Below are 27,559 nucleotides of genomic sequence, written 5' to 3' on the forward strand. Positions count from 1 at the left end.
GTGAGGTGTTTGGAAGTTGAAGGAATTTTCTCACAGAGACATTGTTATGAATTGAGGCTAGGTTCTCAGGCCAGCTAACAATAGTTGATTTAGCCCATGACACTGCTAAAATAGTGTGTATTAACTATAAAGTATAGAATACATGTGTGGTGGGAGAATGCGTGTGTATGCTTGGGGAGTATCACAGGGTATTAAATACCTAGACACATAAAAACCTCTATCAAGCTGATTAATTCAGTAACCTTGGATCGTGATTGTGCTATGTACCAGGTGCTGGGCTGGGCACAGAGTGGGATGGAGGCCCTGCCCAGAAGGGCTCCTGGTGTGGTTTTCAGCCTGTGGGCTCTCAACTCTGGCTGCCTGGGTTGGCTCCTGGCTCTGCTGCTTATACCTATGAGCCCCTAAGCAAGTGACTTACCTCTCAGTACCTCAGTTTCCTCACTTAGAAGCAAAGGATTATAACAGTTAATAGCAGTGCCTCCCTCAGCGGGAAGCCGAAGAGAATTCAGTGAGATGACTCATGGAAAGCACATAGCTGGTGTCTGGCATAGACTGAGCACTCAGAAAATCTAGTGATGCCTGCCTAGGCAGAGAGCCCTGTCCTCAGGGGGTGCAACCAGCAACTTACCTGCGGCAATGTGGGGAGTTAGGCTTATTGTCCAGTTCCCCAGGCATAGCCTGGCATGGGATGGGCTGAGAGGTGGAGACGGGGTGTTGGCCATAGAGGGAGAGAAGAAGTGGGGAGCAGGAGGAGGGTAAGGGAAAAGGGTGTTGTCTGATTTTCCCCCAGAAGTCAAGGTACAATTTGCCAGCAAAAGGGATGGGGTTGGGGCAAGAGGTGACCTCTAGGAGCCATCCGAGAGCTGCACAGGAGCCAGAGGGTTATTGGAGGCCCCTAGATGGGGAGGAAAGAGGAAAGGGACTGGCAGCTAAGGAAGAGATGGAAGCAGCAGTGGGACCCCAGCAGCAGTGCCCTGACTGCCACCGTGGATCCTGCAGCGGCACTCACAGGGGGGAAGTTCTGGGAAGGGTCCCATGGGTGTCTGTGTGTCTAGAGGTGGTGGGGACTTCCTTTGGTTGGTAGTCTTTAGTTCAAGCCCCAGGTTTTATCTCTAGCCTCTGTGTGGGGTCTGACTATTCTGTTCTCTGGGAGAATGTTCAGGAGCCTAGAGCAGTTGGTAATCAGGATGCTGATAGGCCCAACTTGCAGGGAGCGTTGTTTTGATTTTGGCCCCCATGCTTTGAGAGAAGACTTAGTACAACCTGCCAGTGAGTGAGGAAGGACCTTGGACAGTTTAGCCTAAGAGGAAAAGAAAGACAGGATGGTATGAGGGTGGGTTTTAAGTTTTTGGAAGGCTCTCGTTTGGAGGAAGGACACACTAAACCATCCTCAGTTGGTCTCAGTGATATTGTAGGAATGCAGACATCAGCTCAGTGTGAAGGAGGAGTTTCCATGCCTGAGAGCTGTGGGAAAATGGAAAGGCTTGTTTTGAGAGGCAGTGTGTTTCCAGCTCCCGGGGCAGAGGCTGAATGGCTGCTTATCTTCCACAGATATGGGGGAAGGTGGAAGGAAGTGTTAGAAATTCAAATTAGGGTTTCAACCTGAGAAAGTTGGTGTCTTAAATAATGCTGATGTTCTGTGACTTTATGAATGGGTAAGATGAATGAAATACAGGCCTGTTTTAATTTATCTGGAGAAATGGAAACTTTGGTAGGTCAGAGAGAGGAAATAACCTTTATCTGCCATGCAGATAATTGCAGAGATGGCTATGACCTTAGAGACCTCAGACCAGTGTGCTCATGAGCCTGTCTTCAGGCAGTGATTATTTAGATTTCACTTATGAACATGTTGAACTTTCTCTGGGACTTTAAACTCTTTAAAAATGGCACTGTACCTTGTTCAAGTTGTATATTCAGTGACTGTAGATAATCAATGGTGGATACTTCAATCCTTAATTGGATTCTCTTCTCTGACATTTTATAGTCATGGAAATGAGGCTCGGAGAAGTTGTGACTGCCTCAGGTCACAGACCGACCCAGGGGCTGCCCTGGGACCAAGACACCCACTCCTGCTCAGCCTCCAGTGTTCCTTCTATTTAGTCCACTTTCAGAGGTCCCAGTGCAGTTGGAATATGTCAGTACCAGGCATAGCATTTCATTAAGCTACCGCCTAAGGACGCACCATGTGGGATGCTTTTAGCGTGTGACTAGGGATTTTGTGGCACATGGCAGATTTTCCTAGATGTGAAGTCTATTACTCTGCAGAGCCTCGCTGTAACACCATTAATTGTCAAAGCCAGGGCCAGGCGGGGGCTGCCAGGCTCTCCAGATCCTCAATAGTTAGGTCAGTAGGAGCCTTGGCAGGGGCCTTCCTCCTACTCCTGATGAGGTGGCCCCAGGGATGGGCCAAGTCTCTGTGACTCATACCCAAGAGGGCTTCTCAAAATCACGAGTCACCTGGGTTGATGTGGGTATCTTAGGGGTCAGGCTGGGGTCCCCAAGGTCAGAGTACCCTGCCAGATGCAGTGCTTGTGGTCCAGTAAATGACAGCAGGTGACCTGGCTAGGGGTGGAGGGAGTGGGACTCTCATCAGATAGGTCCTGGAGGGCAACCTGAAGCTCAGAGTGGACCAGTTGAGGACTGGGCCCCCTTGTGTGTGGGGCAGGTGTTGCAGCTTCATCAGCCTGCGGTGTTCCAGGGCTCGCTCAGGGCAGGCTGGCTAAAGGCTTGGAGTGGAAGGGGTGTGTTATTAATCCATTTTCATGCTGCTGATTAAGACATACCTGAAGCTGGGAAGAAAAAGAGGTTTAGTTGGACTTAGAGTTCCACATGGCTGGGGAGGCCTCAGAATTATGGCAGGAGGCAAAAGGCACATTTTACATGGGGCGGCAGCAAGAGAAAATGAGGAAGATACAGAAGCGGAAACCTCTAATAAACCCATCAGATCTCGTGAGACTTGTTCACTATCATGAGACTAGGATGGGAAAGACTGGCCCCCATGATTCAATTACCTTCCCCTGGGTCCCTCCCACAACACGTGGGGATTCTGGGAGATACAATTCAAATTGAGATTTGGTGGGGACACAGCCAAATCATATCAGGGTGGTATGGGTATTCACGGTTATTGAGCAGCTGCCCCCTGTGCCCTGCGTGGCATTGTGCTGAGTACGCTGGGAGTGGCATGGCATTGCTCTTCCAGTTTACAGAGCAGGAAACAGAGCCTCCGGGTTCACTGCTGATCATTGATGAAAGCAGGGTGATGATGATGATAATGATGATGAGGGTTAGCAGAATCACTCCTGTCTACTCAGTGCACAGTGCACGCCTGGCCACATGCTATGTACTTTACACACATTACATTTCATCCTCACCACCACCCTGTATGTCAGGTACTATCATTGCCCTTTCAAAGTGGAGGAGATTACAGCTCAGTAAAAGGTAGTTGACGGGCTCAGAGTTGCATGGTTGATGGGCGGCTGAGCCAGGATTTAAACTCAAGTCTATCTGACTCTGGGAGCCCAGGCTCTTTCCTTGTTACAGCCCCACTTGTCCTTGGGAATGAAGCTTGTGATGAACTCCAGATTTTGTTTTTAATGGATGTGAGCCAGGTGGGCTGGATCTGCAAGTATAATAGTAGGTCTTTACGTGATGTGATAGGCTAGATGATGTTGCAGTAATAAACAGCCTCCAAAGCTCTGTAGCTTAACGAAGAAAAGCTTATTTCTTGCTCATGCTTCACATCCAGTCATGGCAGGGTTGGAGTTGGTTGCTTTGTTCCTGAGTCCCCGGGGGACCCAGGTGTTGGTGATCTCTGCAGTGGGGTAGGAGGAGGATATGGTAGATCATTAATGGGCTCTTGGAGCTTGTACCTGGACATGTCACCTGCCACTTCTTGCATTTCCTTGGCCAAAGCTAATCACATGGCCACTCCTGACTTCAAGGGGGCAGGGAAGCACATTGCATGTGCCTGGAGGAGAGAAGAACTGGAAATATTAGGTGAACAGCACTAATGACCCTCACAGTGATTCATGGGGCCTGTTTGGTCAGCACCCCAAGATGGTTCCTTTTTAAAACAGATGAGGGCTGGCCCTAGAGCAGTCCTGGGGAAGGTCTTGGATTAGACTTGGTTACTCCATCCCTCCCACTCTGTCTGTCCCAGCTCTTTTGAGGGAGGGGGTGGCATTTTATTCTCCATCAGAAAAGGAGGGACCGAGTGAGAGTCTTGCCAACAGCATGGCTGGGAAACAATTGCTCTAAGAGGACGGGGGCCAAAAAGTCACCACACCTCCTTCAAGGCCTCTGTATAGAAGGAAATCTGTGATTTATGCTCTGTAACTTCTGGGTGGTACACAGTAATTCCTTCCTGGACACTGTTTGCTGTGTATATAGCGACTCATCCTTTGACATTTCACACCATTATCTTTCATTTTTCTTGATCCGTGCAGTGAATGGATCCGTAACGCCACCCTGTTTTTAAGAAAGCTGAGCTGTGATTTAGAGAAGTTGTTACTTGCACAAAACCTCACAGTGGTCAGGTGACTATACCAGGATCAGGACGTTTCTATTCTGGCCCCATTCCCCTTGCCAGTCAGTTAGAGCTGGCTATTGACCCAGGTAGCCTGGCCTTGCAAGGAGGAACCAGGGCACTCTGGGCTTTGTAGGAGCCTGGTCTGCTCAGCTCTGTCTCAGGGAACAGCCTACTACTTTAAAGGAGGAAATAATAAAGGTCACTCTTGTCAGGTGTCTTAACCCTGTGGGTACCAGAGTCAGCCTAAACGCTTGTAGCAGTCTTGGCCCAGGCTCTTGCCTACCGAGACCATGTCCTTTTCTTTCTCCAGTCCCTGCTTAGCATCGCTCCTGTGGCCATGGAAGTGTGGGGCAAACGGAAAAGTTGACAGCTTTCTATACGGAAATTTGGTCTTGTTTGGGGCTGCAAGGAAGCACTAATGAGAAGCATCCATTGGATTGAAAGTTCTTGGCCTCAGCATTTGTATTTAAGTTCTGAAAATGGCATGATTTTTATAATTCAGGAGAGACCCTTTCAGCATTTATGGATATATGGTAGCAAAATGGGAAAGTTGAAGGATCCGTTTTCACAAATAACAAGACTTCCGGGCAGGGGTGCAGGGCAGAACTGTGGACTGGAGTAGGCCTGTGAGCTTCCAGATTGAGCCTTTGGCTGCTTGTTTATCTTCTTTCTTCAAAAATCCTGTTGAACCTGTTGGACATGTGTGTGCTGACAGCAAGCTGATTTGTAATCATTTGTAAAGCCATGTGGTCTGTCTGTGACAGCGACTCTAACTGGGAGTCTAACGCTTGCATTTACCCGGTTCCCACCCCCCAATATTTTCCTAGTGACGCAGAGCGCTGGAAGCAGGGCATTGTCTGGGTGGAGTCCCTTCCGCCAGCCAGCAGCTCCTTGAAGGCGAACGGCACTGCAGGGGCATGTTGGGTTCTATAAACAGAACTTTTACATGCTGGTCACAAGGTTAGCTTAGACTGTGGCTCTCATGGTGAGGGAAGTGGTGTCTTATAAATATGATGTGAGGCTCCTTTTATCTCCTGGAAACTGGGGAACATTTTGTAAGAATTTTTCTAAGGAATGGTGTTAAAAAAACAAAGCAAAGGCACAATGGAAGGCCTAAGGCTGTGTTTCATAGAAGCCCCTGAAATGCAGTCTTGGTGAGTGTGTGGATGTAGCTGAAGCCCCCAGCTGGCAGGTTCGGGGCCTCCTTTTCCCTTCCCTGGCTGGCTCTGGGGAATTTTCCCTCAAGCTGCTGCCCCCACTTGGAAGAAACTGGTAGCAACTAGCAGAGGTCACAAGCAAGGAGTCAGAGAACCGGGTTCAAGTCCTGGGTGTGTGACTGTTGTCTACCCAACCTTAATGTATTGTGGTCATTGACTGAGGTCTTACTATGTGTCTGAAACATTGCTAGGTGCTTTGCATAATGTCTCAATTCATTTTTAGAATAATGAGAAAACTGAAGTTTCGAGAAGAACAAGCAGGACCAATTCAGGTCTGCTGACTCCAAGGCCTGCACTCTTTTTGTTTTCTTTTGTTTTTATTAAGATAACATTCATATAACACAAAATTCATTTTAAGCATTTTACAGTGTGCAGTTCAGTGGTTTTTTATATATTCACAATTTGGGTAGCCACCATCGCTATCTAATTCTAGAACATTTTCATCACCCTAAATGAAGCCCCTTTCATCTGAATTCCCCCTTTCCCTCATCCTTTGTCAACCACTAGTCTACTTTCTGTCTGTATGGATTTGCCTATTCTGGACATTTTGTATAAACAGAATCATACCATATGTCAAGACCTGAACTATGGAGCATGTTGTGTTTCGGAAAAATCAAATCACTTAACTGCTCTACATCTATTTAGTTGCAGTGTGTTGTGGTCAGAAGGATTTTTATTTCCTTGTTGAGTATCTCTGTAGGTTTATTGTGTGTCAAATGCATTCTGTGAGCAAATATGAGGATTTTATTGTCGTAACTTTTGTCTTGGACCTATATTTTAATTACAGGCCACTCTGAGAGTGAATCTTAACTAGTTTTTTTAAAGGGAAGCATGTTGACTTATTTCCTAAGGACATTATGAAGAAAACCAGAGACATTTTTAACCTATGTAATCACTGAGTTGCCATAGGAAAAACTGGGTAATTGAATATGATTAAAAGGGAGTATCTTTTAGGTGGTTCTATAAGCAAGAAAATTGCCACCAGGGCAACAGAAATACAGGATGTAAATAAAATCTTCATTAAGCAAGGTATATGTAAACTCTACAAGTACGGCAGGTTAATGACCATAAGGAGAGAATGGCCCTCACCTCTGGATGCTGTGGCAGGGACATTGTTACAGATGATCTGGTTTAAATGGCAGCATTTGAAAATAAAATGTAAACATGAGGCAGTAGGAGTAGAACCTCTAGTCATCTTAGCTCACTGAATTCCAGGACTACCTAATGCTGCCTGACTTCTTCAAGTTCATTCTAGAATCCCAGACTGTTAGAGCTGGCCAGGACATTGAAACAAGATAGACTGACCCTTTTGTGTTGCAGAGGGGAGAAAGTGAAGGCAGATAGAAGTTAAATGATTTGTCTGTCGTCATCATACATGAATTGTTAGCGGGATCTGGTCTAGAATTCACATCTTTTAACAAAAAGAAATTGAATATTGATCTGTATGATTTTTGGCATTGGAATCAACTCTTCCTTGGAAATATTTGGTACCTGGGTGATGAATACCCTCTACTTCTTTGCCACTTCCTTTGCCACATTTATTTCCATCTCTCCCATGCACTATTTATTTGTGCCCCTCCACCCTCCCCCCGCCCCACACACACACAAACAAAAAGAGCTTATCACTGTATAACCAACTGAGTTCTGAACTGTAGATGTGTTGGGAGAGATTGGTGTTGGCAATTTTGGTAAATACAGTGAGAGAAAATTTGGAAATTCTGATGTTCTTCTTGGAGCATGGGATTTAAAAATATTTTGCAATGGCTCAACCCCATCTTGCCCAAGAAATGGTAAGTAGGCAAATCAAAAAGGAGGAAGGAAGGAACCCATCACTTTACATTACTAAAATAATTTCAACTTTTTAAAGATTTGTATCTCTTTTTTGATTTTCTGATCTGTTTAGGTATTACTGATTATACCTTCTTTAAGGATGTGAATTGAACTCAGAGGGGGCAAGAGCTTGCAGAAGGAAGGTTGCAATGTGAGCTGGCTGCAAAGCCTGCAGTAGCGCACAAGCGGCCTAACGCCAAATCCCAGGCACTGAGAATCCTACCAAGAAGCATAAAGGATTTGACCAGTTAGGAGCTCAGCTCAAATCTCTGCAGAAAGGCCCTGAGAGCTGAGAAGGGTCCAATCAGCCTAGACCTCACTACTCGAAGGGGTATCCACAGACCTGCATCATTGGCATCACCTGGGAGCTTGTTAGAAATGCAGAGTCCTGGGTCCCACTCCAGACTTCCTGAGTCAGAATGAGCGTTTTAATGAGATCTCTAGGTAATTCATTAAAATTTGAGAAGCCCAAGATTAGAGACCTTATGCCAGGGAAATTAACAAATGATTGGGAGAAGGGATGAAGTGTGCTAGTTAAGACTAAAATATATGCTGTTTCTGTACCTGAATAGTTGACCTTTGCTCAGGTGAGGGGGAAGCTGAAGACACAATATGGGGGACTTGCTTTCCTAACACTTCAGAGTGAGGAAGGGACGCATTATTGTGACCCGGGCCCTATTGTGCAAGTGAAAGCAGACGTCCACAGACATGATGGTGAGAAGACAGTAATTTCCCAGCAGATGAGCTGACCTAGGGGATGCTTCTAGTACCTCTCAGCTGGGATCCTGCAGCCCCAACACACTGGAGCGTGGGGGTGGCCAGCGAGATGGAACTGACACCAACATTCCATTCTCTGGATGTCCCGGCCTCCACGCCTCAGCTGTTTTCACTCATTCAGCAAAAAAGAGAGACAGAAAGGAAACAAAAGCCGGCTGTGGCAGAGGCCGTGTTAATTAGTAAAACCTGATATGTCTGTGTACTGGGTCGGCACTAGGACAAGCAGGAGGCTCTTGGCCTATGTGGTTACTTGTTGTCCATCAGGAGCGAGCCTGTCCAAGGTGTCGGGTCCGTGTTCCTACAAGGAGCGCTCCTCAGCTTCCTGAGTCAGGCAGAACATGCAAATGGGGCCATTTATGGTGCCATGGGGGGTTTGGTACTCATCTCTTGTTTCTCCAGGGGCCAGTGTGAACACTTCTAAATGTGGGTGTTAACCCATGAACATGTGGAAAATGTGCCAGCCTGCAGGCAGGTGATTATTTGCAATGAATGGCTTGATGGCAAAGAGTGGGATTTCACTTTCTTGCATATGTGTGATACAATTGTTATATTTCTTTTTTCCTTCTTTTAAAATTGGTAATTGGAGCATATGGCTAAAAGTCAACTATTTTTAAAGTAATGGAAATTTTGCAGTTCAGCATGTTGAAGCATGCTGTTTGGCTGTTTTAGAAGAATGTTTTTCTTAGATGCCATCGGTTTACCACACCACCCTTGACTGGGAAATGGGGCTAAGATTTTAATAAATTAGCCAACCAAGAAACCTGACTTACCCTTGAAATAAGATGGGTGTCATCTTCTTTGTGCAGTGTAGTCGCCCTGGAAGGACTATTAGAAGATCTCAATTCTCTGTTTTGAGAAGTCTAGGCTTGATTTTTTTAGCTGGTAAAAAATGTGCAGGTAGTGGCCTGAAGCCAAGTGTGACGATTTGGAACCACAGCCGGTAAGCTGTGTGAAGTCCTTCCCTTTTGGGAAGCAGATGTGAGTTTAGTGGACCTAACAGTAATAACAAGGGCTATGACGAGAGCTGTAATCCCATTTAACTAGATATTTACAATAATGTACTAGGTGGGCAACTTCATCCCCCTTCTTCAGATAGGAAACTAAGGCTCTGTGAGGCCAGGTCCAGTGGAAGGCCCAGCAAGAGGCACAGCCTGGGTTTGGATCTGATCTGGCTGACTTCAGAGCCTTTGCTGTTTCCTCTAAACAGACAGAGAAGCATTTTTAGAAGTATAAATGAGAATTCCATTCTGGAGGTGATTTATGTCTGTGTTAGGATGGGACATGTGTCTGTGTGCCGGGTGGGCAAGGAGGAGAGTGCTTGGCAAAGTCACAGGGGAAAAGTGACACCACTTCCTGGAATACCAAGAACACAGTATCCTTAATATAAAAAGAGACATAGTAGAATGAAACATGCTATGGTGTTGAATGAAAAATTTACATTCATTTATAATGGAAAAACCCAAGCCTTGAAAGCAGTTCTTCGCAGTCCCTTGGATGTCTCTCATCACCCCACACTGGACTTCTCTGCCTTAGGGTTTCTGGAGTGGAAAAGTTGGGGAAGCACTCGTGTAGTTGCAAGTCCTGGGCCATCTGGGCCTTTTCCACTCTCCCAGCTATATGTGGTGAAAAGGAATTGCTTAACTATGTAAACTGGCGTGGGAGAGTTGGCGCTATGCTCTGTTTGTACAGCTGCTCCTGGGGCTCCGGCTCCGCTATCTTTCACGGCCCAGAGGTACCCATGAAAAGACAAAGGAAGGGTTTCCAGAGGCTGGAGGAGGTGAGAACTTGGCCGAGGACGTGGGTTGTTTTCTGAGTTCCTGTGACCATTGATGGTCAGTCTTTTAAAAGAAAATGTATATTTATTTTTAAAAATGGTAATACATGTTGAATTTCCATGGTTCAAAATTTAAAAATTGCCAGAGGGTTTGCAATTGAAAACTTCCTTCTGCTGTTTTCCACATAGCCCCAGTTTCCTGCCTCATAGTCAGTCATTGTTACCAGTTTCTCATGTAGCCAACTAAAAACATCTTTATCCCTCTTACCTTCTTTTTATACACACAGAAGCATGCTATATCTACTAATCTGTCCCATGCTTCTTCCTCACTTTCTTGTTCTTTTTTTCTCCCAGATGCACAAGATACTATTGACCTGATGTAATTTATTTAACTAGTACCTAATTGGCCTTTAGTAGTGTGCAATCTTTTGCTATTAAGGTACTGCAGTGAATAATCTCATTTATATGTCATTTTGCACACATATGGGATAAAATGATAGACGATAAGTTTCTGGGTCAAAAGAAATGTACATTGTAATTTTGATGGATACTACCAAATTGCCATCCAGGAGCCTCGTACCAGTTTCTAGCCCCACCAGCAATCGATGAGAATACGTTTCCTCACATTACACATACTGTGTTATCAAACCTTTTGATGTGGCTGCCTCATAGCTGAAAAAATAACCTTGGTGTAATTTTTAGTGATGATCCAATCTTGAAAAATGATAGAAAATGGCACAGTTGTTACTTTTGCCTTTGTGGTGATGAATCTGGTGCGGTGTTTTCAACTTTTTGGAGTGGCAGAGGAATCGACTACCTGTACAAGTGAGTAATAGCTAAAATATTGAAATGCAAATCCATGTAATTCTTTTAAAACAAGACATCACGTAGGTGGTAAGATACGGACAAATGAATTATTAAAAACTGTGTGCTTTTTGGTTTTATTTATGATGGTGCTTCCTCTCTAATATTGTTATAACATATAGGACTTGGGATCAGAGAATCGTAGAAACATAATGCCAGCAACTTCAATGACTTTAGCAGTACTTGTCCCCAGGGAACTTCCACTTGAGTTGCTCTTTACCAGCTCTGTCTTGGTGCAGTTCTGCTGCCTTTGCCACATCCATGAGACACAAAGTCTCATCTGGAAAGATGATACATAGATCCAAGCATCAGATCACTTCAGAGTTGGGAGAACTTTGAAGGTCCTCTCTGCCATGTTTCTTTTCTTCACTGGGAGGTCATGGAGAAGAACTTACATGTAGTACTTGCCTTGAACAAAAGGTTAGGATTTTTATTTTTATTTTTGATTCCATTACTACTGCAAGTGAATTAGGTATGGTTTCAGGAAAGGAAAGTTTGTTCTATGGGCTTTATATAAAAGGTGAGCTGGCCATGTGGGGGTGTGGGGGCATGAAAATGGGAGAGGACTTTTGGGAAGATTTGCTAACATAGGCTCATGTTAAATTATTTGTAAGCATAATGTGAAGACATAGAGAAAAACATAGTATCGCTTTACAAATAATCAAAAAAGGACTAAGTGTCTCAATACACACAAGGTCTCCTAGAGTCATACTCAGCCCATGCCACTGAAAGTTAAGATTGGAATAAATCCCTGCCAGCCATAAGCTGAGTGAAGAACTTGCATGCCAAGTTCTAAACATCACAATTCAGTCCAGGTTCCCTTATCTAACACGCTAGGGTGCTAGTTAGGCCCCAATCCAGGTTAAATCAGGTCTGGTTTTCAGTATCCTCATTCTTCCTGAGATTTCCGGGTGAATGAAAGGGTGCTGACCACACATCTAAGTGTTCTTTGCTTTACTGAAAGCTTTGGGCAGATGGTCTTGAGCCTCTTCTTCCCCTCTCTAACACCTCAGCAAACCTCCAGACCACGGGGGTAAATGCATCATCTCTCTCCACCATCCCTACTCCAGCCCCAGGTTTCCTGTAACTTTTGTTTACCCTTTTTTTTTTTAAACAGCTGTATTAAGATATAATTCATATAGCATATAATTCATATAATTCAACTATTGAAATTGTACAGTTCAGTGGTTTTAGTATTCACACAGTTGTACAACCATCACCACAGTCAATGTTAGAACATTTTCCTAACCCCTAAAAAGAAATTCCATCGCCATTAGCAGTCACTCCTGGCCCCTTCCCCATATCCCTCCCTGTACCTCCCTGTAGCAGCCCAGGGCAATCACTAATCTATTTTCTGTCTCCGTAGATTTGCTATTCCAGACTTTCATATAAATGTCAATATGGGTGTGTGTGTGTGTGTGTGTGTGTGTGTGTGTGTGTGTGTGTTTGTGTGATTGGCTTCTTTAGGATAATATGTTCAAAGTTCATCCATGTTGTGGTGTGTGTCAGTATTTCATTCCTTTGAATGGCCAAATAATATTCCATTCTATGGATATGCCACATTTTGTTTACCCATTCACTGTTTGATGGACATGTAGATTGCTTGCACTTATTGGATACTGTGAATAATGCTGCTATAAACATTCATGTACAAGTTTTTCTGTGAATATATGTTTTTTCTTTTTTTTGAGATGGAGTCTCACTCTTGTCGCCCAGCCTGGAGTGCAATGGTGTGATCTTGGCTCACTGCAACCTCTGCCTCCTGGGTTCAAGCGATTCTCCTGCCTCAGCCTCCTGAGTAGCTGGGATTACAGGCACCTGCTACCATGCCTGGCTAATTTTTTGTATTTTTAGTAAAGATGCGGTTTCACCATGTTGGCCAGGCTGGTCTCAAACTCCTGACCTCAGGTGATCTGCCCGCCTCGGCCTCCCAAAGTGCTGGGATTACAGGCTTGAGTCACTGTGCCCGGTCCCTTGTTTTTATTTCTCTTAGCTATATAGCAAGGAGTGAAATTGCTAGGTCCTACCGTAACTCTGTGTAACATTTTGAGGAACTGGCAAACTGTTTTCCAAAGTAGCTGCACCATTTTACATTCCTACCAGCAATGTATAAGTGGTCTAATTCCTCTAAACTCTCCCCAATACTTGTTATTATCTTTCTTTTTTATTATAGCTATCCTAGTGGATGTGGAGTGGTATCTCATTATGGTTTTAATTTGCATTTCCCTAATGACTAATGATGTTGAATATGTTTTCATATGCATGTTGGATTTTATATACTGTTCGGATCCTTTCCCCATTGTTTATTTATTTATTTTTTGAGATGGAGTCTTGCTCTGTCACCCAAGTTGGAGTGCAGTGGTCCCATCTCGGCTCACTGCAATCTCTGCCTCCCGAGTTCAAACAATTCTCTCGCCTCAGCATCCCAATTAGCTGGGATTACAGGTGTGCACCACCACACCTGGCTGATTTTTGTATTTTTAGTAGAGATGGGGTTTTATCATGTTGGCCAGGCTGGTCTTGAACTTCTGACCACAAGTGATCCGCCTGCCTGGGCCTCTTAAAGTGCAGAGACTATGACGTAACCCACCGCACCTGGCCCCATTTTTAAGTCTTTTTGTTACTGAGTTAAAGAATCATTTATATATTCTGGATATGAGTCCTTCATTAGATATATGACTTTTATTTCCTTTCATTCTGGTCGTTGTCTTTTGACTTTCTTGGTGGCATCATTTGCAGCACAAAAGTTTTAAATTTTGAAGAAGCTTAATTTATCTGTTCGTTCTTTTGTCACTTGTACTTTTGGTGTTGTAGCTAAGTAGCCTTTGCCTAACCCAAGGTCACAAATACTTGTTTCTGTGTTTTAAGAGTTTTATAGTTTTAGATCCTACATTTGGGCCTATGATCCATTTTGAGTTAACTTTTGTGTATGGTATGAGGAAGATGTCTAACTTCATTTCTTTTTCATGTGGATATCCAGTTGTAGTGGCACCATTTGTTGAAGGCTATTCTTTCCCCCATTGAATTGTCTTGGCACCCTTGTTGAAAAGCAGTTGGCTATACATGTAGGGGTTTATGTCTGAACTCCCAATTCTGTTTCATTGATTTATATGCCTTCCCTCATGCCAGTACTGCCCTGTCTTGATAACTGTAACTTTGTCTCACATGTTAATAGGAGAGTTAGGGCAGAAGTGGGCAATCTAGACTTTTTCTTTCCCTGGTCTGACCAGTTACTAGATTCTTTAGATCCTTCCTCAAGTTTTCAACCACACTTTATTTCTCCTCTGTATATTTTTGTGACATGTCCTCTTGCTGGTTTCATTAGGAGACGATATCCTGATAGACCTGAGAAGTCTCAGCTGTCTGACACCTTAGTTTTCTCCTAGCAACGCCAGCTAACTTCATTCTAACTCAGTTGCTTGGCTCCGATGGGCTTTCTCTGTTGTATAGAATTAAACCTTTGGGCCATGAAAGGATGCTCTGGTTCCTGAAATTCTCTAACTGGTTAGGTTCAGGATAATAAGCTTACTGTACTGTTAAGAGAAGTAAAGATCTTTCCAACAGGCTATATAAGTGAGCAGTTCTAGCAGATACTTCTCCCACATGGTCGGTGATACAGCCTTTAAAAGCCTAACCTTGTCCTCCCTGGGCCTTTCTTTTATCGCAGGCGTCTGTAGCATTGTGTTGTAGGCATGAGATTTGCTGATATTGGCATCTTTGTAGTAGTGGAGAAATGGAGGACAGGTAAGAGATCTGCCTGGAGAGGTGGAATGTGGGGCAGGACCATTTCCCATCACTTCAAATTGCTAAACCGAAGAATACAAAGCCCCTGTGACCTCTGGAATCAACAATAACCACCCTGAGATTGTCATTCCTTTCTGTTGTGGATTGTGTGCAGCATACCTAGAGCTTACACTGTGAACTGTATCCTAATTTAAGCTAATTTAAATTTCTGTTTTATATTGGACATGAAAAAAATCTGTACTCCGAAGCTGCCCTTCCTCAAGAGCTTCTATTAAAGACCCTGGGCCGGGTGTGGTGGCTCACACCTGTAATCCCAGCACTTTGGGAGGCCGAGGCAGACAGATGATGAGCTCAGGAGATCGAGACCATCCTGGCTAACATGGTGAAACCCCGTCTCTACTAAAAATATAAAAAAATTAGCCAGGCGTGGTGGCGGGCGCCTGTAGTCCCAGCTACTCGGGAGGCTGAAGCAGGAGAATGGTGTGAACCCAGGAGGCGGAGCTTGCAGTGAGCCGACATCGCGCCACTGCACTCCAGCCTGGGGGACAGAGCGAGACTCTGTCTCAAAAAAAAAAAAAAAAAAAAAAAGAAAGAAAAAGAGACCCTGCCCATGCAAATGGGGCAGGGAAGTGGACATGTCAGAAAGCGAGGGTTATGAGGACAGGTTCTGGATTCAGCCTGCCCGAATGCAGTTCCTCCTAAGTGATCTTGGACAAGTTACTTAAACTATCCAAGTGTCAGTTTCCTCATATTTAAGATGGCGATAAGAATAGCACCCGCCTTCTGGAATTGTTAAAAGGTCGAAATCCCGTGTAAAGATCTTAACACAGGCAAGGGTTGGCAAACTTTTTCTATGAAGAGCCAGAGAGTCAACATTTTAGGCTTTGTGACACCATAGGCTTTGGGGTTTCTGTTGCAACCACTCGGCCCTGCTGTTGTAGCTTGAAAGCAGCCACAGACAGTCTGCAAATGGAAGGGCGTGGCTATGTTCCAATAACACTGCGCTTTTCAAAACAGGTGAGGGGCTGGGTTTGGCCTGCAGGCTGTCGTTTGCCGACCCCTGGCTCAGCACAGGGCCTGGCTAAGTGGGCACAATGGGTTTTTCATAAATGCCAGCCATTCTTCCAGCCTGGGGACAGCTCCTTGACATCAGTCTCCTTGTTCATTTGCTTTGTGTTTTTAACAGAATGTCGAGGTCTTGGCGAGCAGGAGCAACACTTCAGAGCAAGACCAGGCGGGGACTGAAATGCGCGTGAAGCTTCTGCAGGAGGAGAATGAGAAGCTGCAGGGAAGAAGCGAAGAGCTGGAGCGGAGAGTTGCTCAGCTTCAAAGGCAGATCGAGGACCTGAAAGGCGATGAAGCCAAGGCGAAGGAAACGCTGAAGAAGTACGAGGTGAGGCTCGCTGGGCCCAGGCCCAGCTTTGGCAGCTGCTGCTCCTTCTTTCCTGTGTAAGTGATTTCAAAAGTGGGGAAGGGATTTATTGTCATGATGTAGTAGGAAAGGTCAAGGCAATAGTGAATACATCCTCTCTGCAAGCCATTTCTTTGTTCCCCTGGGAGTGGCATGACAGGGAGGCCAGGGAACAGGGACGGTGAGGTCAGGCGGGAACACAGGTCTAGGCACAGGAATCCCCACACACCCAGATACCAGACATACCCAGCCTTCCATGGCTTCACACAGGCATCCACCTGAAAGGGCTGTCTTAACACCACCATTAGACCGATTCTCACTCAAGACTATTTATTCTTTTTTAACTCATTGTTGATGTTTTTGAAGTGACACTGATTTTAACAAGCCAATTATCTGGTTGGCCAGACCTCTAGCAGTGGGAAGCTGTGACTGAGAGATGGCACACTCTCAGCAGTAGGAAAGGGCAGCTGACAATGAAAGAGGAGACACACGTGGTCACTGCCTTAGTCTGTCCTGTGCTGCTATCATGGAATACCACCCTGGGGTAATTAAGGAAAAATAGAAATGTATTTCTCACAGTTCTGGAGGCTGAGAAGTCTAATATTAAGGTGCCAGCCTCTAGCGAGGGCCGTCCTTCTGTGTTGAAGTGTGAATGGCATCACATGGCAGAAGGGCAGAGGTGGAGTGGGGAACTGACTGGCCAGAGGGGGCCACACTTGTCCATTGACCAGGAACCTACTCCTGTGATGACAGTTTGAGCCCATTCATAAGGGCAGAGCCCTCATGGCCTCATCACCCCCTAAAGGTCCCACCTTTTCATATCATTACAATGGCAATTAAACTTTCAACACATGCTTTTTGGGGGACACATTCAAAGCATAGCAGTCATCCATCAGGACCACCTGGATACCTTTTATAAAACTGTGTGTGTGGGGGTCCATTCAATACCTACTGTTTTCAGATCTCCAGGAATAAGGCCAGATATTTCTATTAAAAAAAAAAAAAAATACCCCAGCTGGGCATGGTGGCTCATGCCTGTAATTCCAGCTACTTGGGAGGCTGAGAGGTGGGAGGGAGGATCACTTGAGCCCAGGAGTTCATGACCAGCCAGAGCAATATAGTGAGACCCTGTCTCTAAAAAAATAAAAAATAAAAAATCACCCGAGATAATGTGGATGTTCACACCTGCCTGAGAACTGGAACTGCAGATAAACACACGCATCCAAGAACACGGCTGTTGTGTGCCACCTTGGGTCTGTGACAGGTGCATTGTGACCATAGCCACTGCCATATCTATGGGTGTCTTCGGTGTTCATTTAATTCCATTGAGTCAGTTTCATAGGTACAGCACACATCTAAGTGCACACTGACCCAGTGTTTCATTGTAGGGAGAAATACGACAGTTAGAGGAGGCCCTTGTGCACGCCAGAAAGGAAGAAAAAGAAGCTGTGTCAGCCAGAAGGGCCCTGGAGAATGAACTGGAGGCTGCTCAGGTAAACACCAAGGGCTGTTGTCATTACTCCCTCAAGAAGAATGCATAGAGACGCAACACCAGAGGGATGTGTGGAGATTGTCCTTGGCCCTCTCTTTCCATGTAGCTCCCTTTCACCCATAATAACCACTCAGTTATTTGAACTATCCGTCTAGACCAGCGATTCTCAACTGGGGGGGATTTGGTAATGCCTGAAGACAATTTTGGTTGTCACAACTGGAGAGATGCTACTGGCGCCTCGTGGGTGGAAAACAGGGATAGGGATGCTGTTAAACATCCTATGAAGCACAGGACAGCCCCCACTGCAAAGAATGATCAGGCCCCAAATGTCAGTAATGCGAAGGCGGAGAGCCCTCCGTTTAGACGTTAAAGAGCTTGACAGCTTTCCAAAGATAAAATATGAGTGGTGTGAGAAGGCCGGCAGGACTGGCCTCCGAGGCGGTGTGGAGTCTGCTTTCTGGCAGAAGCCAATTTCCTTTCTCCTGTGGGCAAATGCACTCTATAGAGTACATTCCTTCAGGATGGCTATTCAGAGAGGCAGGAGGAAGTCATTTCCTTGAAACTGGATAGCTATCGCTATTCAAAATCAGTAGGTTCTTAGAAAATTAGATTTTCCCATTTGAAGTACATTCTCAAGAAAGGCCTGTACTGCCGTTCTGATTGACTTTGCACAGTGACCTCCGGGTGATGCAGGTGTGTCCTTCTCCTATTGGCTCTCGGGATGCTGCTTAAGTATCTCAGGTGAGTTTCTGAGGAGGTAGAAGCCAGTGTTTTTGAGAGTTGTCTAAGAGGAAGGTTGTTAAAGTTTTCCATTCCGGACCCACTTGTAGTCAGGGATAGGTGAAGTGGGGGCATTAAAAGTGTTAAGAGCCGAGTCAGGTTCAGATTTGTAAATGCCTTGTTGCAGCTTTCCTGGAGGGTGTTCAGCTTCATCTCCTAGAGTATAGAGGAGAGGAAGGATTCCCACAGGTCAGCCTAGCTTGGGGACTCTCCCCCAAAATCAGAAGCCTGTGCCTTCTCCTACTCTTGGGACAAAACTCGTGTTTGCGTATAGTAAAGTCCCAATTTTTCCTGAGTTCAATGTCTGACTGCCTTCACTTTGGATTTTTTTTATTTCTTTAAATCTAGATCTTCATTACAAAATCTTGTGGGGTTGATTTTGTGTGGATGGCACTTTTGCTGTGCTGCTGTTTAAAGCTTAGGTTGGTTACTGTTACCCAACCTGGCTGCCAGAGTGTGGGGTTTAAATTTGTGAGCTGGTTGGGGGGCAGAAAGAAAGGAAACATATTTGTACTCTATAGGGATAAACATCTCTACCTTCATGGTATGTCCACACCAAGTCCCCGGTGCAGCTATGGGTCTCTCAGAACCTTTCCTTTGGTCAAACAGGAACTTTTCACACATACGGAAGTGGTTCCCCTGCTGGGTATCTGCGCTCATAGTGAATTCAGTGCACAGAACAGGTGATGGCCTTGGGGCCTGAAGATCTTAATGTAATCCCCACCCACCCCCATCTGTGGATCTCTAGCCTTGTCTTGGAAATTATCCCTGACATGTTACTTTTGTTGAGGCCTGTTTTCCCAGTGGTGTGGGGATGGTGAGAGTGCTTCATGCAGTGTGTGGCCGTGTTAGCCACTGGCAGTGCAGCTGGCAAGAATTAAAAATGGGCCTGACAGTTTCACTCTCTTTACCTGAATTATCTGGTCTTAAAAATAATGCCATGAAAAAAGCACCATCGCTCTGAAATACTTTGTTTTCTTTAAAATTGGAAACCAGATAGTCAGCTCCTTTTGTTTGGTTACTCTTTCTATGCACCTCTCGTCCTTGAAGCTGACAACTCAAAGGGACCTTAGTCCTTGAGGAAAGAAAAAAGTAACTGGTGTTTTTCTCAGTCTTTGTGCTATTGGTCTATTGCATCTTCACGTATGATAAATAGATTTCTTTACATAGTAGCTGAAGACGCTGGTAAATTTATGTCTGATTTACCATGACTCAGTTAAAAAGTAGCAGAGGGGCATAAAGATGCTGTTCTTGGTTAGCTCAATGCCCTACCGCTTGCTTCAGGACTGTGTTGCTGTCTAGGGCTACTGGAACTGCACTTAAGGCAAGGCATCTATGTTTCTATTTTAAAGTGCCTTCTGCAGATGGGGAAGTAAAGAAGCCTTTGCTGGAGAAACCACAGTTCTTTCCTTCAGGAGGGGATAACAGTGCATACATTATTCCTAGGGCTTTCCCTCCCACCCCATTGGACTTTTGAGTATTGAGACAACCAAGGAAAAAGGGCCCAAGGCTTGCACTGTTGCAGCCCACAGACACTGAGTGGCAGGGACTCCAAGAAGACCAACTTCCTTCTGGTTAAGCTGCCCATTCCTTGACACCCATAGGCTCACCTGCAACTTGTTTGTCATTAATATGAGCCAATTGGGACCTCAATCATAGGGTAAAATCTGCGTCTGTTGACAGATAATGGTCCCTGAGCTCAAGGACACTCACCCTACATCTACCCGTGTTGCGCCTCAGATTCTCCAACCTGATATATTTTCCCTAAATTTTCATCTCATTATTCATTGATGAGCTTGTATTCCTGGCCTCGGAAATAGAGTCTCTGTAGCTACAGAGCGTTTCACTCCTGATACTGTCCACATGAAGGGTCGGAAAAATGCAAAGTTGCCATGTTTGCTTTTTTTCATGTGAATTTGGGACGTTTTCTCAGCAGTGACCTATTGGAACATATGTCTTGAATTATGGAGGAGGAAGACCGTTGTTCTAAACAGTGTTTCTAAACCTTAGTACATGTTAGAATTATCTGGGGAGCTTTCAAATGCAAATGATTATGGGCCCCATGCTAAGAAAAATTGTGATTCCATCAGAAAAAGCTAGAATCTATATTTTAAGTACAGACACCCCATCCTTGCTTGGTGATTCTAACATAAGAAGCCTTGGGATCACTTTTGGGGATAGGCATTCATTTTTAATAGCTAAGTGTTTATCATATGCCTAATAGTGAACATACCCAGATAGACAGAAAGTCTCTCCCTTGCCTTTACGGAGCTTACTACCTTGCAAAAGAGGCAAGCATATAAGAAATAATTTAAAAATAATGTAGCAAATCTATTCTTCTAGGCAATGTGTGTGTGCTGGGGTGGCAGGTGTTGGCAGGCCCTAGGCCCAGAGTGGTGAGTCTGTGGTGTCTTTTGTGGTTCAGGAGAAAGAGCCAGGCAGCCCTGCCTGAGCCAAGAGTGGAGCAGAAATGCATGCACGAACCACATGGAGGCTGAGTAGAGCTGGGTTGGCTTGTCTGCTGCCTGGAGCCCTTGGGATTGGGGTCTAAGAGGAGGAGAAAGGCTGGGGGATTCCTTTGGGGAGGGGGTTGAGTTGGATCCTGAAGGTTCTACAGGAAGCCATTGGGGGCCCTCTGTATTTGTTGTTTTCACAGATTGACGTTTTTTGGGACATGTGTTTTGAGGGTTTTGTCCCATACCATACCTCACTGGTTCTATAACTCCTCCTCACCCTTTGCCCCAACACTGCTAAATCATCGATCAACAGAAACCCCAGGTTTGACCCTGCTTCTGGTGGGTGCCCAGCAGCAGCTGTGCTGGAGCACACTACTGCTAATTCCCCCCCACACTGAACTTCTGATTACCTTTCTTTTTGCCACCATCTTTTCCCCAGCAGCTTTTGTTAACCTTGGTTCTCTGCAGCAATTAACTTCAGCAGGTCGGCCACGTTGGCTGCTTCTCAAAGTGCAGCCAGCCCAACAGAGCCCAGGGACCGGAAGGCCGCTATGGGTCGTGTTTTAGCCCCACATCACATGGTTGGCAGAGCAGATCTGTTCCTATGCTCTGCAAACCAGGAGAGTCCGAAGTGATTTGGAATGTTTTCAAGATCCTGAGTTACTGCCTGTGGCAGCAGCTTGTAAACTGTTAAGCACTGTACAAATATAAACCATTGTTCTTGTGCAGTCACTGCAGGGACACAAGACTGGGTAGGCCCTGAGCTGTTTCTGTAGTGGCCCAGTCAGCCCTCGGTGCCTGACAACGTTTTCGAGATGATCCAGTCTGTGTTTGAGTCAGGTTGCTCTGTTCCGAGTTGTGCGTCTTCTTATTATCCTTGTACCTATGGCCCTAATGCTTAGCCATTTAAAGAAGCCACCATAACTTTCCTATAATATTTTAGGATTTTATTCTGGAGTTGCATGTTGTTTACATAAAGAACATAAGTCTGTGTGACTTTGTGAGATGAGAGCCTCAGGGGAACTAAGGGGAGTATTGCACTCAAGATAGTTGTATTTTATGGTAGGCACTAGTATTTGGTGCTGATTCAATCAACAACCACCTACCTGGCTAGTATTTTATCTGAGTAGTGTCTCTTCCATTTAACACCTTCTGTTCATCAAGTTCACCAACCTGTGTGTTTCCAAATTCCTTTTTGCCTGTGTCTGAGTCCAATTCATGGATTTTGTTGATGACAACTGCCTTTACCCAAATGGACCTTTGTTCTGTGGGGTAGTGTTCTCTTAGCGATTCATTTTTAGTTATTCTAACTGTAAGAACCATCTGCATAGCATAGTAAATACTGGAACATTAGGTGTGATGCTGTGTGTCACAGGATATAAATTGCCAAGTAGGTTTAGATTGTTGTAATGTATAACTTGACCTCGAATTTCAAGCATGAACATTCAGGTTTTCAGACACCATCCTGAATTCCCACCACCAGCAGCCTTGGCCATGTATTTCTGTAGCACGTTGTTTGTCTGCCCCTTCATTCCTGTGGATGTTTTTGGGTAAGTCAACTTTCCTATTTGGTCCTTGAATTTCAGAACCAACAATGCCCTTCTATCTCTGACAGCTTTATTTTGATCTTCTTCCTCATCACGGATTTAACAGATCTGATTGCTTTGCAGTGTGACTATGAAGTTCCCTGTGCCACCCGTTCCTGTGGCTACCTGGTTAGTAGGTGACAGCACTGTCCTTTCCCTGCCATTTGCAGGGAAATCTGAGTCAGACTACCCAGGAGCAGAAGCAGTTGTCTGAGAAGCTCAAAGAGGAGAGTGAGCAGAAGGAGCAGCTAAGAAGGTTGAAGAACGAGATGGAGAATGAGCGGTGGCACCTGGGCAAAACCATTGAGAAACTGCAGAAGGAGGTGAGGGGCTGGAGGAGGAAAGAGGAAGTAGGGCCAGATGTCTTTGTTGGACCCAGTCCCCTCTGAGGGTCTGGTGAAAGCCTGGGAAACCTGCAGTAGGTCTAAGCACAAAAGTGTCAGGGATTTGCAGATCCCAAGAGGCAGCTCTTTGGATTTGTTGAAAAGATAGACACTGGTCTAGAAAACATTAATGCCAGTACCCTCTGGATTCTGGGCACCAGAATCACCTCTTAACAGTTAGTAGAAGAAGGCTGTGTGTCAGTGCAGATGGAACCAATGTTGAGTGAATCAGAATCGACATCTCTGTGCAGAGTCTCTACCTTTGCATCTCTATTGCTTGTCCAGGAGTGTGAAAGGCAGCTTCAGAGCTCAGTAGCTGCTGCTCTTTCTCTTTATGTCTGCCCCACCATACCCAGAAGGGGTAAAGGCACAAAGCTGGCAGGCTTTCTGTATTCTGGGAGTTGACACGAGTGTCTGCTGTTTTCTGACATGTATTATGTACCAGGCACTTTACTAACTATTTTGTTTCTAACTAGAATTTTATCTGTATCTGCTGATAAAATTTTATCTGTATCTGTGGATACTAATTCTGACAACAACCCTGTAAGGTAGATATGATTTCGGTGTTTCCAGTGTGGACATGGCCAGGGCCCAGAGAGGTTAACGACGTGCCCCAGTCATGTACTGGTAAGTGGCACAGCAGCCCTAGGACCCTGAGGCTGTGTGCCTGGCTCCAAAGGACGTGCCTGCTCACTCCTCCATGCTGCTTCCAAGTCACAGGTGCCCACACCTGGCTGACTCAGGATCAGGTGCTGGGCCATCTTTGAGGGGGCCATAGAAGAAAGGGAGAAGAGGAGATGTGCTGTGTGTTGAAATGGGACCCAGACCCTGGTCTCAGAGCATCCCAGGGTGGGCTCACACCCGTGTCACTTCTTCTAGATGGCAGACATTGTTGAGGCCTCCCGTACCTCAACCCTGGAGCTCCAGAACCAGCTGGATGAGTATAAGGAGAAAAACCGCAGGGAGCTCGCAGAAATGCAAAGACAGTTGAAGGAGAAAACGCTGGAGGCAGAAAAGTCCCGACTGACAGCCATGAAAATGCAGGATGAGGTAATGCCTGGCCAGATAAGTTCTTCCTTTATCCCTTATTCAAAGTATCCTTTGCCCTGAAAGTCTTCTGTGAGGGACTTGGGGGTAGATTCGTGAGACAGCTTTGGTGCTTGACTCTTCATTCTTCACCTTCTGGATGGGTTCCGTGGGCAAATGGCATTCTGGAGCACAAAGGACCCACCGGCGGACTGTGAGGCTAAATGGACACAGCTTTAACCTGACCATTTTCTTGATGAATCTATAATTTTTTGCCTAAAATGTTTAGCTGCCATTTATGGAGCAGCCATGATGTGCCCAGCTGTGTCCAGATGATTTATTTATATGCTTTCATGTTTTAATTTAATCCTAGAATAGGGATTACAGTAACTGACTGTTTTTTGGCCATTGATTTTTGAAAATACAGACTTTTATTGGCATGAGGGTGGCGGACAAGAGTTTCACAACAACAATAATGGCGAGTAAAAGAAATCCTCAGGAATTTATGAGTATTGAAATGATTAAAACATTCGTTTTATATTTAAGAATAATTGAGCAAAGAAACCCAAATGCTAGCTCCCTTCAGGCTTGGCCTCTCAAGAACTGAGAAAAAGAAAGGGGATGTTTTTGATTGTTTTAATGGAAAGCCGGAGGCTTCAAAATGTAAGCACAGCCTATGCTGATTTCTAGCTATACCTCTTGCCAACTGGGTCACCTTGAGCAACTTAACCCCAGTTTTCTGAGCATATGTTTCTACCTCTTTAAAAATATACCAAATATTAGTGACTTAATTAAATGAGTTAATATGTGAGACTGTGTAGCAGCGAGTCTGTACATCCCGGACACTTCATAAATATTAATTTCCTTTTCTTTAATTTTAGGGGCTTATTTTTCATGAACAGTGCCGAGAGCACCAAGATTCCACAGGAAAACATTTTTTTCTTTAAAAAACAAACTTTAATTTCTTTGATGATCAAAGAAAAGTCACCCATGAGTCAGTGCTGAAACTGTGTAAAAGAACAATAGATATTTATTGCAGGCTTCTAGAACACTCTTGAAAGGCCCCTGATAATGGATCCCCTTTGGCTCAGGGTTATGTGATACAGGACTCCAAGTAAGCAGTGAAATTAGCGCACTGACATCACAGTTCTCTTTGGTATTAAAAAAAAAAAAATCACATTCATTACTACAGCACAGAGGCAGAAGGATTCAGGTATCTGCCAGAACACCAACAAGCACCTGGTCTGATTTGACTTCAGAAGATCACAGTGTCACAATGACCCCTGAAAAGTACTTCCCGTTGCGTTTTATATAATGATTTTTATGATAGAATCCTTGGGTTGGAAAGAAACATAGAGATCCTCTAGTTAGATAAGGAAACTGAGGTCCAGAGAGACTAGTTAAGGCCAGATGGAGACCAGTATTGTTTATAAAAGAGCAGTCCTTCCAAAACAAAAAAAAAAAAGGATTCCTTGCAAGGAAAATAAAGATGGCCCTTCCTGGATTTTTCTCACTGATGCAGCCCTGTGAGACACTGTTTCCATGTGAGCAACAGACATGGACACCTCATCATTCTGCAGGGAAACTGCAGTGAGATACCACCCTTGACTAAGTTGGTAGAGTGATGGAGTTGTTTAAAACAAAAGTGAATTAACAAGCCAAGGTCTCTCTGGATCCTTAAAAAACTCAGGCTCAACTCTGTTCACTGCCCCTCTGCTTGTGTTTTGATTGAGCTGGTTGAAGATCTTGGTTAAAAAAAAACCCCAAAAGCTACAGGAGTCCGTTCTAAGTGCTGTAATAGTGGCTGCCTTTGCTTTGAGAGAAATAGGCATTTTTCACCCATTCTACCTCTGATAAGCATGATCTTTAGAGAATCGAGACTTAGTGATTACCATTGTTCAGTTTATTTTCTACATCTCTTTTAGCAAAGGGTGATTTTAACTACTTAAAGGTAGCACTAGGAAGTTCAAAAGTTGTTTGCTTGCTTATGATTCAGGATACATTGTTCACAGACACCATGCTAGTTAATCTCTTCTGCCGGCCCTCGTCAAGGACTCTGAGTATGATGGGGCCCTTACCGGGTGTTAGGAGGGACCTGCTGGGTGTGGAAGGTGGGGCTGTGCTGAGCAGTGGAGGAGGGCACGCTGGGCATTGGGAAGGGGGACAGGAAGGAAACGCAGGCTGCACATTTGCCTGTCATTCTTTCTGACCCTCACACTCATGTTCTTTCTGGGTATCATCTCATTTGATTCTCATAATAGCTTTAGAAGGCTGATTTTATAATTATCCCAATTTTGTGAATGAGGAAACTGAGTCATAGAGCGTTTTTGTTTTTTGTTTTTTTAACGCTCTGGAATATAGCACATCCTCTGTATCCAGAAAATGTCCCATCACTGTTTTCCATGGGGTGATTTTCATTCTGTGCTTTCATGTACTTTCTGTCATGGTAACCACTAAAACCAGATGTGGGTCTTCATCTGGAGATGTCATCTTCAAGGCTAGGCTGTTCTCTTAGAAATGCCCAGTGCTCCTGTCAGCCTCCCAGAGAAGAACACATTTCCTCAAGCTTTTCCACGGGTTCTCCAAAGCTGTCCTCAACTACTGGGGCTTTCCAACTCTTCTGTGCCAGACACTGCAGAAGGGTGGCATTCTGTAGCGGAGATGGCCATTCACTTTCATATACTCTGAAGGAAACAGACCCCCTGGTGTATTATTCTATTCATGAGACTAGCTCTACTCAATACTAGTACCAACTCCAAGAGGGTAGGACACTTAGAACAAAGCAGACAGCCTGCGGCTTCACCAGATCAGCCCACACAGATGTTTAAGGAAGACCTACTGTGCCCTGAGCTGGCTGGTCTCCCCAGGGAGCTTCTAGAGAAGTTCAAGACACTGACTGGCCCTTGTGAATCAAGCTGTTTTGTCTGTTGCGCTTTCTTCAAAGCTGTTAGTTGAGTGCCACCTTGTGGATGGAAAAAACAACAACATTATAAATTAAGCTAGCTAATCATGTTCTTCTACAAAGCAGTGGCTTTCCCTAATGTGCCTGTGTATGTTGTTAGGTTTTTTGCCAGTAGGTTGCTTTGCGGTCATTAATTCAGTTGTGTGTTCTTTTTCACTGAGTTGAAACCTCTTTTGAGGTGACAGTGATACAGGTAGACAATAAATTACCCCCTGGGAAACATGTATTTAGTTAAGGGGCTCTCGAGAGGTTTTAACATGACCTAGTAAAAACGACATTTTGCATTCAGCTGAGCACGGTGGCTCATGCCTGCAATCCCAATACTTTGGGAGACTGAGGCGGGCATCACCTGAGTTGAGAAGTTCGAGACCAGCCTGGCCACCATGGTGAAGCTCCATCTGTACTAAAAATACAAAAATTAGCTCAGTGTGGTGGCATGCACCTGTAATCCCAGCTACTTGGGAGGCTGAGGCAGGAGAATTGTTTGAACTCAGGAGATGGAGGCTGCAGTTAGCCAAGATCGCACCACTGCACACCAGCCTGGGCAACAAAGCAAGACTCCATCTCAAAAAAAAAAGACAAAAAAAAACTATATCTTGCAACCCAGGAATACACGCATCTGCACAAATATATGAATGTCTAGCACAAAAGATTTGCAAATCAATATTTGCTAATACTCTGCTATTTTTTTCTGTTCTATTTAATTAAAAAATGCTGGTCAATATCTAC

General features: G+C 44.8%; 1 protein-coding gene across 22 annotated transcripts in view, besides 1 other annotated feature; it reads left to right on the forward strand.

Moving 5' to 3' along the window:
- The window catches only part of CGNL1 (cingulin like 1), a 174,213-nt gene that overhangs the window by 124,355 nt on the left and 22,299 nt on the right, over positions 1-27,559 (forward strand). For all 22 annotated transcript variants that reach the window (XM_047433184.1, XM_047433186.1, XM_011522121.3 and 19 more), the window contains 4 exons: positions 15,921-16,127; positions 17,534-17,638; positions 22,630-22,782; positions 23,722-23,892. In XM_047433184.1, the coding sequence (XP_047289140.1) occupies positions 15,921-16,127; positions 17,534-17,638; positions 22,630-22,782; positions 23,722-23,892 (636 nt within the window). The remainder of the gene's footprint in view (positions 1-15,920; positions 16,128-17,533; positions 17,639-22,629; positions 22,783-23,721; positions 23,893-27,559) is intronic.
- Positions 26,431-27,014: an enhancer, noted in NCBI's record as "OCT4-NANOG hESC enhancer chr15:57819488-57820071 (GRCh37/hg19 assembly coordinates)". NCBI's record gives its function as "activates a minimal SCP1, AML or CMV promoter by ChIP-STARR-seq in naive H9 embryonic stem cells {active_cell/tissue: H9 hESC(naive)}" and the evidence as "EXISTENCE:reporter gene assay evidence [ECO:0000049][PMID:30033119]".

The sequence above is a fragment of the Homo sapiens genome, chromosome 15, assembly GCF_000001405.40.
Source record: "Homo sapiens chromosome 15, GRCh38.p14 Primary Assembly".
Lineage (NCBI taxonomy): Eukaryota > Metazoa > Chordata > Mammalia > Primates > Hominidae > Homo > Homo sapiens.